Source organism: Homo sapiens, chromosome 14 (genome assembly GCF_000001405.40).
Source record: "Homo sapiens chromosome 14, GRCh38.p14 Primary Assembly".
NCBI lineage: Eukaryota > Metazoa > Chordata > Mammalia > Primates > Hominidae > Homo > Homo sapiens.
This window is the reverse complement of record NC_000014.9, coordinates 83309383-83323907: the sequence shown is the minus strand read 5'-3', so window position 1 is coordinate 83323907 and position 14525 is coordinate 83309383.

Below are 14525 nucleotides of genomic sequence, written 5' to 3'. Positions count from 1 at the left end.
ACATGTTGTAGGTTATGCAAAACAACAAAGTAGGCTCAGCATAAGGGGGAAAAAGATCTGAATTGTGCAGAAGTGCCATTTATTTAGTCCCAAATTTCATTGTACATTTAGTTCTTTTTTTAACTGAAAAGTTATCATTCACTTTATCATTTATTCCTGTGTGGTTTATCTTTTTCTGAAAAATATTTTCATAGCTATGATATGCTATGAAAACTTTATAAAGGATGTAATCAGGAAAAGCTACCTACTCATATAGATAATCAATGCCAAAGTACATGCTATAGAGGATATCCTCAGGAATTTTATAATAATTGGTTTTATAATATCATCTTAACTTACTCATTTACACAAAAAATTCTCACAAAGAAATATACCCTCTCCTCATTTCCAGACAATTATGGCCCTCATGTTCTATTTTTGGATCTTTCAAAGTTGATAGATACCTAGGTAAAGAGTAATATGAGAAATATGTAAATATGAGAACTATAGAAGATTTATTTGTGAACTTTATTGAGCTTGCTGACTGTAAAAATGCCAACTTTTATTGAGTGTATTTAATAAATCAGTCATGTGCCAATAAGTTCCTTCTCTCTGGAATGAGTAAAACAGACACCTAAAGGTTTTTTTAAAAAATTAAAAGTTCATATGAGCTTAGTGATAAATATAGGGCAGAAAAGTAACTGAAAAAAAATAAATATTGCCTGGTACTTGAGGATAGTATTTCTGGATATGTGTTTTGATGCTCTAAGAACTCTTTCACAATTAAACATGGTAAAATTGTAACAAATATTGGTTGCGCTCATTGACAGATGATGAATTTGCCATAGATCTTTCCAGTTGTGATCTAGACATGATACACTATGAAAACTCTGCAGAGGATATAATCAGGAAAAGCTACCTACTCACGTAATCAGTGCCCAAGAACATGCTTCACGTCCTCCAAACAGAAGAGCATTTTTACTCTTTGTATTTATAGCTGCTCTAGTGGTATGCCATTTTAGTCTTGATTTTGTAATTTTTTGTCAGTCATATGTACTTTGACATCCCACTCTACTGCTGCTCTTTTCATTTCTCATTTCATTTCTCTTAAAATTGTATTGTGTATTTATTAATATAATCTCTTACAGTCAAAATATTTGTCAATTTTTTTTATAATCAGAGACTTTGTGTCCAGTTTTATTAATCTTTATATACCCCATGTGGTGAAAACGTCCTCTATATTATCCTCTCTTAGGATTTACTATTTTTAACTTTCACATAAAAATCTAAAAACCACCTGAAATTAAGATGCTTATACTATGAATAGAAACAGTTATCTCTCTGTCTTTCTCTCTATGAATAGAAGCAATTATATATTATACTATGAATAAAAACAATTTCTCTCTCTTTCTCTCTCTCTCAGATATACAATTGATGAAGTACAATTTATGGAAATAACTGTCTTTTTGTCACCCTCCTGTTATGCCACCTATATCACTGATCAATATAAGCCTGGGTCTGCTTTTCAGCTCTCTATTTTGTTTTCTTGGATGGTTTGTCTATTCTTGCACAATTAATCACTGTCTTCATTACTGCAATCCTCAAATAAGTCTTGATTCTCCAAAATTTCAGTTTATCTTCAATATTGCATTAGCTATCATTAGATCTTTGAATATTTACAATTTATTATTGGCTTATCAATTTCAACAAAAAAGCTTCTACTTGACTTTTTATTGAGATTGCAGTAAATTTACAGATGAATTGAAGATAATTTGCTTCTTTACATACTGTCTTTCCCTCCATAAATAGTTTTCTATTAATTTAGGTTCATATTGATTCTCCCTCAAGAATGTTTTATAATGTACTCTCTATAGATTTGTCTCTTCCTTTGTTACAGTTTTTCTTAGATATTTGATTCATTTGGATTATTGGACCAGTTCAGATGTATTTAGGACTTAAATGTTAAAGACATTTAACAGTTTTGAAGAAAATTTAGATGAATATCTTTATGACTAATGATCTAGAATGAGTTCTTATACATGACAAATACCATAAAATATCAGTTTAAAATAGAATACTTGAAACATTAAAATAAATTTAATTTATAAAATGATACCAGAAATTCAGTGAAAAATTGATCTACAGTGAGACGTTATTGACAATATTCATAACTCACAAATGTAAATAATTCATGTATCAATCTAAAAGAAAGAAATATCTCAATTTTAAAACGGGCCAAAGTCATATGCAGACATTTAACAGACAATGAAAAACAAATGACTTATACACATATGGCAATGCTAAACCTCATTAATAATAAGTAAAATGCAAATTACAACCAAATCAGATATAATTATGCAGTATTTGATTATCAAACAATAAATGTCTGACAAAACCAAGTGGTGGTGGAGACATATGGCAAGGGGAATATTCATACACCGCTTGTGAAAAGCAAATGATAAATAACTGACAAATCACTTTATAAAACCATTCACATTGTATGTTAAGGAAGAATGTAATTCTGCAATTACACTCTCAAATATATACTTAACATAGCAATTTTTTTTATTTGTTTGTTGTTTAAATTGAAGGTTACTACAGATTATTTTGTGAAATCATTTTGGTGAGTCATACTCAGAATTATTGAAAATGAAATAGGACAGCAAATAAAAGATCCATATTCACCTAACATTTTAAAGGAAAGGGCTTCAGTCATAAACATATTTTTAGGAAGAGGCAATCCACTTTGGGCCCTGGTGTTCCTGAGCATACTTGCTGGAAGTGCCAGGAATTTAGAACTCTCACCACTCTTCTGGGCCATTATTCAAGGTTGTGTTTGCAGGGAACAGTCTTGAGTGATGAGGGAATGTCTCCCCCGAGACAAAGTGCAAGCTTACTACAGAAGCAGAGATCACCTGAGCTCAGTGTTACTCTCTTCTAACACAGCCCACTGTGTATTCAGACATCCATCATGGACTCTTTTGTGTCATGCTTCTGGGATTTGAGGGTATGAGAAATTGACACCAGCAAATGTGAAGCTCTGATTCCTGCTTTTGCCATGAGTAATGAAATCCTTTGTCTCTGACGTGGAAGTTTTGTGTCTTCTACCGGGATCTATGAAATAATAACAGGCTGGGTAATTAGCTTGCAAATAGGACAATATGCTACACCTGCACAGTTCTTCACATTATTTTTCTGGTCACAGTATGAAGTTTTTCTAGTTGTGGGTCACTATCAAAAAGCTTCAAAGACATTTCCCTAGACAACTCTCTTGCACATAAGAACTATGAGACATGTAAAATACAATGTACAATACTGTTGTTTGTAATAACTAAAATAAAACAAAACAAAATCTGAAAACAACACAGATGGTAATCATCAGGAGGATCCATAAATAAATTGTATACCCACCCAGTGCAACACTATACAGCAGTGAAAATAACAAACTATCACCACATGCAACAAACATTTGGATCATGAAACAGTATTGGGCAAAATCAAACCAACAACTGAAGGCTACCAACAGTATGATACCACTTTAAGAACTTTAAAAATGTGGGCAATTAAGCATATTTTGCTTAAGACTGCATGTACGTGAGTTAAAATTGTAATGTAGAAAATAGCAAGAAAATTATAAACATATATTCAGGATAGTGGTTAGTGCTAGAAAACAGTCAGGGTCATGTGATTGGAGTAGGTATTAATATTTAGGTAGCTTAAATGAAGATTGTGTATATAGTTCATTAATTGTTCACAATGTAAAAATACAAAATACATACTTTCATATGTCAAACATTATTTCACTAATCAAATATTATTTGCTAAATTAAACAAAATATGTCCCAAATCCTGAAATACTATGATCCAGAGCTGGAAAAAAAGAATGAAGAAATTATGAACACTAGCAATAACAAAAATTATTATTTCAATCTTTATTATAATTGCCACCAGTGGTGAGTAAAATAATTTAATTTCAAACTGCATTAGTTTTTTCTACATGAAGCACTGATGATGGGGTGTTAAAAAGTATTTTTAAGTAATTGGTTTTATGTTAAATTTCATTTTCTTTTGTGTAAGTGGAAAATTGAAAATAACGCCAGTAAATTCAGATTCTAAAACTGATATTTGTTCATAATTTGGGACTTAATATGAAACACCTCACCATCACTTTTTTCATTGAAAAGAAGCTCAGGCAGTATTATATTTAAGCCTCTACTCATAATTTAAGAAACCAGCCACAAGAATATAGACAAAATGTTTGAGAAGTTGAAAGTTAAATAAATCAGTCTATATATGCATCATGCTGAATGAAATATAAAATAAAATTAAATTCACAGAGAAAGCCCCAGTTTCCAAATGTTGCTAGTTGTCTTCAGCTTCCATACCACAAAGAGAGATTCAAAATTACATTGAGGTATGAAAGCATTCACTTTCTTGACGATGAAGCAAAATTTCTAACTATGGTATCATATGACCAATGAACTGTCTAAAAGGAGAAAGAAAATTTTAAAATCATTATTCAAGCATTACCCTTATTTTACTGCATGCATTTGTTCATAAGAGTTAAAGTAAATGCACAGAACACTATTCATTGTCCATTTATAAAAATAAACAGATAAAGAATAGTAATAAAAGATAAATGATCGTTCTACTTTCTCCATACCATTGTATGCGATTTATTCCTAATTCTGTTTGTACATGTGGTGAGAATCGAGTCTTATTAAATCTATGGCTTCTAGTCTCATGATTACTTCTTCACAATGTATCCCATATGCCATGTGGCATTTGTAATTTTTACTCCATTAAAACTCTTTATTTTTCTGGCTTTTCAATGGTTCCATCACTTTCCAGGGAAGCCAAGTCTACTTTGTTTGCAGAAATGTCACCTCAGCTGAAAACCTCTCTGAACAAAGGTATTTGTGTGGCCAAAACTGCATGGTCATGGCTGGATTCCTGCATCTTTAGGGTCGGCAGCAAACAACCTGCTCACTATCCAGGCTCTTTCCTGGACCTCCGCACTGCAAATTTGGCCAGTCTTTCTTGCTGTGGAGAAAGAAGCAAGCCACAGTTACTTTACAACCAGCAATTACCCTCGGGGTTTCAGAAATGAATTTCCCCTTCTTTTTCGAAGCAAGATTGCCTTACTCTCAATAAGATATGGGGAAATTGTTAAAAAGGGGAGAATGTGAAGCCAGTGGGAATGTGCTGTAGCCCTAAATTAATGCTGGAATTGGCTCCAACCTGCTGAAGGAATTTAAGCATTCTCAAGGCCTGGGCACAATGTAGCAGAAATAGAGCAAAAGCCAAAATAGTAGGATTCCAGATGGTAATGTTGAAATAGCTCCGAATAGAAAAGTCCACCATCTCCGCGCTTGCTCGATTCCTCTTACTAATAAGAGCATTGTACAAATGATTAACCATGTTATTTCTAGAGAAGGAAGAAGCATATAGCATTAAGTAGTGATATAGTACATGCAGACACATTTTCCTAGCTATCACGTGTTAATATTTACAGCCCAGGATGCCCTCCTTTCAAGTAGCAGGTTTGGTAATAATATATACAGTAAGTTAAGCACAGCCTGCATTCTGCCTGTACTCTTTTCTATGGAGAGTATTACTTGGATTTTTCTACCCAACTCTTTTGTCATTTTAATTCCTCCAGGAGGGTACATTCTTAGGGAGATCACAGTAAATACTGTCCTAAATCCCCATGATATTCTGTGTGGCCATAGCTTTCTATCTTCTGACCACCTCTATCACCACTTTTCCAAAACAGAATGACTGTCAGGCTCAGATATCTTACTTTCCTACATTGCCACTGCTCCTCAATGTTGATTTTCCTCTCTATTCTCTTCATTGAAAGAGTAGAGATTAAGAAAGTGGGCTATAGACTGAACTAGGCTGAAGCTCTCAAAAACTGTTTGTCAGCTAAAATGTGAACCCAGGTCAGCTTGTGAAGGTCTCTGAGATCTAACCTCCTCCCCAGAAAAACACTTGCCTCATCCTCTGATTGTGAAGATTAACTGAGCTGATTTGCATAAAACATCAACCAGTGACTGGCACAGAGAACTAAGTTGATTCATGGTATTGATGATGGTGAAAGTGAGAAAGAGGCAGAAGATAGTAATAAGAAATATAAGAAATGTTATTATAAATCAAATGAATTTAAAGGTCTCTCAATATATTTAGATCAATATCAAAATGTTCTTGATAATCAAACAAAATGTTTTTAAGTATCAAAATGTTTTAAAGTCAAGCTCTCTGGATCTCTGCAGCCACACCCTTTGAACACCCAACTTCTCCAAGAGCATAAACTCTAGCCTGATGGAATGTCAAATGTGTTGCATTTTTAACTGAGAGAAGAGCTATGCATAATTGAGATCATATCAGAATGTGTCTTGCCAGGCATGAGAATATCCAGATTATAACCTAGGAAAATGACAAAATACTACTAATTTAACACTAGAAAATGGGAGGGATAAATTTTACAATCAATAAATTATTTTCAAAGATTGTTTTTTAACCACAATGTCTTTTTTTAAAGAAAGTGAACTCGAGAAAAGAAACTACATATAGCATTAGGAGAAATAACTAATGTAGATGATGGGCTGATGGGTTCAGTAAACCAACATGGCACGTGTATACCTATGAAATAAACCTGAACATTCTGCACATGTATCCCAGAACTTAAAATATAATAATAAAAAAGAAACTACACATGTACTGTTGTGAAGCCTCAGAAATATTCCCTTTATGATTTGTATTTGAAACTTTCTAATTAACTAGATACATTGCACCCGCTTTTAGTAAAATATGCCAGTACCTTTGAGAAAATATTTTGTTCTTTTTAAAATATTTTGTGTATTTTAGTATGTCAAAATATGCTCATAATTTTATCTTACCAGCTTTATGAATTGTAACATATTTTTTATCAGATTTTGAAGAATTAGTGTTCACAGCTCCTCATATTTACATAGAGCATTTAAAGAATGTATTTTTATTTGTTTTTCTGATAGAAATATATGTTTTGATAATTTGGAGAATAGAGAATGTACCTTTCCTCTTAGTTTTAAATGGTCCTAGAAACATGAGAGGGAACATGAAGAAAAAGTATAACTGAAAAGTGTAGAAGTCAGTAGTATGATATTTCACAGAAGGAAATTGATCAAGCCAAATCACACAGACCAACAGCTTGGAGTACTACCGCCTTAGCAAATGGGTATTTGATTGAATTCAACAGAGGCCAACTCAAAGTAGAACATCCAGAAAGAGAAAATTTAGCAGAAGGACACCTGGGTATCACAGGAAAGCCATTGCCAGTGGTGTATCTGGGCCTCACCAGAGCCCAGAACAAGGACATGAACATCACTGAGAAGGAAGCAGTTCCTCTTTTCTCTGCCTCTGTGTAAAGAAAACAAATGCTCATCTCTGATTCTCCCTGTGTCATCTTTTGACTTTTTCTCTCATCATACCAATTTTCTCTGCCCTTCTTATATGTGGTCCACTAAAACTATCTCAAAATGGTATCTCCAGTCTTCTTTCTGCTTGAGTACCTGTCACAGTCCAACTAGCCTTTGTACTAATTTGGGAGAGAGAATACAATTAATTCAGTTTTGAAAATATAATAATTTGTACAAGCAGCTGTGACTTCATGGAAGAATAATGTGAAGTATTGGTCTACAAACCCTCATTGCTGTGAGATATGCAATATACAGCATACAAGGTGTGTCTTTTACACATGTGAAGTGAAACGGGCATGATTTCAATTTTGCTACAGAAAAATATTTCTAAAGGAGAATATTGATATAAGCAATGGTATATTATGTAAACAATACTATATGATGTAACAGATAAGCCTTAACATCTCAGTGGCTTAATCAAATAGAATGATACTTCCGATCTGTATAAAGTCCAATTTGTAGATATGCTGGATGTATAGAGAATTTGCTCTCCACATTCAACCGTATCTGCTGGAGGCTCTGCCCTCTTTAACATAGCTTCCAAGATTTGCCTTGGGTTTTGTTCTGCAGACAACAGGAGAAGATCATGGAGAATCACGTATTGGAGTTTGTGATGGATCGGTTCTGTAAGTGAGGTGCATCATTATGATTCAAATTGCATTGACTGAAACTCAGTTACATGTGCACACCTAACTTTAAGGATGGCTGTCTTAGTCTATTTTGTATTGCTATAACAGAATAGAGGAAACTGGGGAATTTATAAATAAGGGAGGTTTATTTAACTTAGGCTAGCAAATTCAAGGGCATGGCTCTTGCTTCTGGTGAGGACTTCTGTGCTATGTCATAGCATAGCAGAGAAGGTTAAAAGAAAAATAAACACATGCAAAAAAAGCAAAACTGAGGGAGGGCTATCCTGGCTTTATAACAGCCCACGCTTGCAGAAGCTAATTCACTCTCGTGAGAACTAATCCAGTCTTTCCATGGCAAGAACTCACTCCCTATCCAGAGAATGACAGTAAGCCATTCTTGAGGATCCACCCTCATGACCCGAACACCCCCGACATGTCCCCAACACAATCACACTCAGGATCAAATTTCAACGTGAGTTTTGGTGGGGACAAGCAAATCATATGCCAACCACAGCAGCTGAAAAATGTAGTATAGTTTTCAGGAAGACATCATTTGGGACATTGATTACCAGTCTGAAAAGTTTGGGCATCATTCTTTTGCTAATGTGGACTTATTACATATTTTTGAGTTAAGAAGGTGAATTAATTTGAAGGATGGTTCAAGTGATGCAATCTCTGTGTGTAGGAAATTGGAAGTGGAAGACAAGTGATTTAAATTGACAAACGTTAGGGCAGAAGGTTGCAATACAAGGTTTTTATGGAAGTAATTTCAACAAATCTGGAAAATAATCTGACACGGAACTAATGTCTCCTTTATTCATCTGTGAATGATTTATTAAATATATACTCTGTGCCAGACCCTGAGCTAGATACTAGGGATAAAATAGTCCATTCTTTATGTACTACATACAGCTGTAGTCTAGTGGGATTGGAGGGTGGAAAGAGACAATAAATTATTACTGTTGTACCTAATGAAATTGTGATAAATATTGCAAAAATGATAGAAATTAATAAATGAATATAGTTGACTAGCCAAGATCTCTCAGAGTAAGTGAAATTTAAGCTCTGTGTGAGTGTGTGGTTTACATGACTTAGAAGATACTCATAGATAATTGAGTAAAAAAGTGTACACAGGAAAGCCAGGTGTGGTGGGAAATATAAGTTTAGGGTTGGAGTCACCAACTGGGGACACCAACTAATACCCAGGTGCATATATATATTAGTTAGCTATAAATGAGGGGCAGGAAATGAAGGTAGAAATGCAAAGAAAGTTGAAATGGTTTCAGACAACTCTGATACAATGTAGACTATTTTAGTGCTTCTTTAGATGAGATCCAAGCCTCACTTGGATACTACACAAAGATATTTCTTACAAAGATTTCTAATGTACAGTTGTCCTTTGCTTTTAAAACGTGTGCTTTTTTCTCTTAATTTTGGTATGCTGCTAAATTGCAATTATATGTTTATATGGCTGAAGTTGTCTCTGGACTATTAGTTCCTTGAGAATGGAGTGTATTTATTTATTTTCCCTCCTTTTTCCTCACAGATTGAGAAACAGAGCAGGAGCTCAATAATTACCTCATGAAAAAGAAAGGATGCAGAAATGAACAATGAATGAGTACTTTTATGTGAACATGCACAAGGTTCTTGGAGTACAGAAAATGATGCAGAAGGCTGGGTGCGGTGGCTCACACCTGTAATCCCACCACTTTGGGAGGCCGAGGTGGGCAGATCACCTGAGGTTAGAAGTTCGAGACTAGCCTGACCAACAGGGTGAAACCCTGTCTCTACTAAAAATACAAAAATTAGCCAGGTGTGGTGGCACACACCTGTAATCCCAGCTACTCAGTCTGAGGCAGGAGAATCACTAGAAACTGGGCGGCGGAGGTTGCAGTGAGCCGAGATCACGCCAATGCATTCCAGCCTGGGCAACAGAGCGAGACTCTGTCTCAGAAAAAAAAAAGGAAAAAAGAAAAGAAAATGATGCAAAAATCTTGGAAGCATGAGAAAGCGTGATGTATGGCAAGAGTAAAGTGTGACATAGAAAGGTGGTGGGAAACAAACCAGAATGGTTGAATCAGGGACATATAATGCAAAGCCCATCATGCCTTATTAAATAACTTAAACTTTCTCCTGGAGGAAATGAGAAGTCATCAAAAATGTTATAATGTTACAAGGACTTAAAAAAATTGTTGGGAATATGAAGGACAACTAGTAAATGGGGGAACAAAAAGCTGTTTCAACATTTCAGATGAAGAATAATGATGATAAACTCAGGTATACCCTGTCCGTGTGAAAACAAAATTTCTGTTTCAAGAGAATTCTTTAGACAATCAGAATCTATAAAGCCAGAGAAATGCCTCCAGAAGGCAAAACCACTAATCATGTCCCTTGTGATATACACTGTAAAGTAGTGAGAGGAAATCCTACAAAGGTTTTCATTGTTGCGTTTGTTTTCCAAACATCCATGAGCAGACTTCCCCATCAGATGTGGCTCTAGGAACTTCAATGATGATAAATCAACATCACAAAAGCAGCTATGGACTATACATAAAAGAATGGGTGTAGCTGAGTTCCAGTTTCAATAAAACTTTATTAACAAAAAGAACTGCTCAGCCAAATTTGATCCATGGGTCATAGTTTGCCAACCCAAGATCTGGTAACTTATTGTAAGAACCAGTGTTTGAGCTATTTAGGTCAACGTTATGAAGAGTAATAAAATCCCCACTAAAGATGTCTCAGCATTCTTTTGCACATCATGCAATTCCATTACTAATAGATTATTATTTGGGCAAGAGAAAAATAATGCAAGTGAGGCACACATTGAAATTTTTAATTTGATATTCCCAAGGTCAGTCACCTTAGGAATCTGATGTTGCTTAACATTGAGTCCCCTCAGATTACACTGATGTGAAATATCTGCTTACAATATCTGCTTAATAACTGCATATTTTTTCAGCCACCGTGTCACTGTTAACATCTCCTTGCCCATCCAAAAACCTAGAAGAGCTGGATTAATTACAGTTCTCCAGAGAAACAGAAACAATAGGATATCTATCTATCTGGAAAGAAATTGGGGAAAGGGGAAAGAGATACATTTTTCTGACATGTGTAACTGTGAAGACTGAGAATTTACACGATTTGTCATCTATAAGCTAAAGATCCACAAAAATGCATGGTGTAATTCAGTTCAAGCTCAAAGGCCTGTGAGGACCAGGGGCACTGATTATGTAAATCTCAGTCCAACCTCAAAATAAGATGAAATGGGGTATCCCAGCTCATGTAGTGAGGCAGAATAAAAGGAGGTGAATCCCTCAGTTCTGTGATTTTTTTGTACTCTTCAGGCCCTCAACAGATTGATTGATGACCCCTGCACTGGGGAGCACCATCTTCTTTACTGAACCACTGATGCAGATGCTAACCTCATTTGGAAACATCCTCACAGACACGCCTAGAGAAAAGGTTTATTTTGGACACCCCATGGTGTGGTCAAGTTGACACATAAAATTAACTATTATAGCAGTTTTTCTACTGACTATATAATTATTTCATGACTAAGGAAACGTCTTCAGGCTTCCCCTTCTTGACTTCTTTCTATTTCCCCTTTTATAAAAACATTTCACTGTGCTTCTTTTCAGCTGAATTTCACCACACTACCAAGACCCTTGACTCTGAAATCTCATATGAGATTTAAGTTTCACTCTATGATGGAATTTTTCCAATAAACTTGTCCTTTGAATCTTTTATTTGAGGACTTTCATTGCTCATCATGGGGCTCAGGTCAAGGTCCCAGAATTTAAGCCTGAACAAATACATGTGCTCTAGAGGATAGTTCAGATATTCATACTAATGTATAGCATTCATTCAGGTAATGATTTATAATAATTATAAGTAAACTATTAGGATTATAACATTCAATTATTATTGTGATTGAATGTTTACTTTGTGTTTAGTATGTGTACATGGGCCCTGTTTCCATTCTTTAATAACAGTCTTTTGGATTGCTTTGCTTATTGTAATCTTCACATTATGTATGTATGCATATGCACATGTACACAAACACATACTTATATGTTAATATAGTTTTATCCCCAAGCACTCCCTACTTACAAAGGAAAACTCATCTTTTATATCTGGATTTGTAAGGAAGCTAAACTATTCACTAAGACATTTTGACTTCTTTCTTATGAATTCTGGAGTTTTCTGGGAGTTCAGTCAATGTTATGTAATGCTTAATTTTTAATCAGTTATTTAGACCCAGGATTGATAGTTTTTAACATCATCAACTAACAGTTCTTCTGGAAGTTTTGTCCATGTTTTCTGCATCTCTTCTTCATCACTCTCTTTCATTATCCTGAAGAGCAAGTATTATTTTTCATTTTATGACAGCTCTGCTACTTCTATCAAAGAAAAATCTTTGTCATTTCTCACTACCTATCTTCTTCTTTGCTGATCTCTTGCTCCCTCTGAATCAAAAACATTCCTTAGATTTATGGACACTCCTTGTACAATGTTCTTTTTACTTTGTTGCTTGGATCTTTACTCACTTTGGTTCGAGTATCTTTAGCTTCATTTTGTTTTTTTTTTCCAGTCTCCCAGTCTTTGAAGTTTCAGTCTGTCTATAAGTCTTTTTTCACTATACACTCTTTATTCACTGGTAGATGAGACTAACCCATTCATTTTTCTTCCTAAGCAGAGAGAATTCTCCTTTGCAATAGATGACGGATTTTGTTCAGTGTATTTTTCTCATATAGTCTTCAAATACTAAATGATTAAATTTTTCACTTACTGAGGGCCTACTATGTTTCAATAGTATTTAAAAATAAGGTTAATTAATCTCACAAAACCATAAAATTGATATAATTTTTCAAATAAGTGAATAGTAGCTCAGATGGATTAAGAAGCCAAATATTCTACAACACGTCCTGGATTCATTCTCAAAATATTTATTTCACTATTTCCATATCCAGGCACTGGGTCAGATGTTGGGAACATAGCAGAGAATAAGACTTTTGAAGTCTGTCCTCTTGTGGGGCGTTATGTAGGACATAGTAAGTAAGTAGACGTGCATTAACATGTAAAGTAATAAGAAGGATTTAAGCATATAAATAAATACATAAACTGATATCCTCAGTGAGGAAAACAATATAGTTGATAACTATAACTGGGTGTGGGGTGGTTGGAATAGCCCTTACGGAAGAGATGACATTTTAGCAGATACCTAAAAGGACAGATGGAGTTAGTTATTAGAAGTGAGTGGGAAAAGGCTGGGTGTGGTGGCTCATGCCTGTAATCATAGCACTTTGGGAGGTCGAGGAGGGTGGATCATAAGGTCAGGCACTCGAGATCAGCCTGGCCAACATAGTGAAACCTCCTCCCTACTAAAAATACAAAAAATTAGCCTGGTGTGGTGTCAGGCACCTGTAATCCCAGATATTCGGGAGAGTGAGGCAGGAGAATGTGTCAAACCTGGGAGGTGGAGGTTGCAGTGAGCCAAGATCACGCCACTGCACTCCAGCCTGGGTGACAGTGTGAGACTCTGTCTCCAAAAAAAAAAAAAAAAAAAAAAAAGAAGAAGTGAGTGGGAAGAGCATTCCAAGCCCAGGAATGTGATGAAGGCAATGATATATGGTAGGAAAAGTTGTATATGTGTTTAAGGAACAGCATATATTCAATATTGTTAGAGTATGAGTGGTATGAGATAAGATAGGAAAAGACCAAACTGTCATGACCCAAAGGGCATAATCTTTCACGTCTTTCAAGTCCATGTTGTTTTCCTGACACAGCAATAAAATAGCCCTAAACACTCCATTGCATTTACTGGTATTTGCTATCATATCAACATTGTCTCAGGTCTCAGTCCTTATCTAAATAGTTCACACCCTTGCTGAACTCATTTCGAATGCTGTATTTATCCTGATGACTTTCCAGTGTTTTCTATAGCATGGACCTTTCCCTTCAACTCCAGAACTGCAACCCCGAGATGTACTAGACATCTTCACTTGAATGTTTAATAAACAGCTCTCAAACACAACTCGACCAAAGTAAACACCAACTGCTGAGTTCCTAACAGGCCTGGGGTTTGCTTTTACCCCACTTATAAGCAAAGAAATTAGCTTGTACTCTTTAATGGATGTTATCAGAAGACACAAAACTCTTGGGTCAGAGATAAAAGACTATTACTATGACACCACAAACAGTATTAGCATCAATATATTAGCATGGTTTTCCCTTGCCTTCCAGTCCTATAATGTTAGGGGGCCAGGATGGATGATACACTTGCAGTGGATTTTCATTGCTGCTGAACAATACCGGCTTTGCATAATCTACTCCTTTTGTAGCTTGCAAGTAGGCAAGGTTGCTCTTTGTCCTTGAAGGAAACAGTATCTCATCTTTCACTATTCTCTCTGCAAACTCATGAGAAATGGCCCAGATAAAAAGCAGTTAAGCCCTTGCA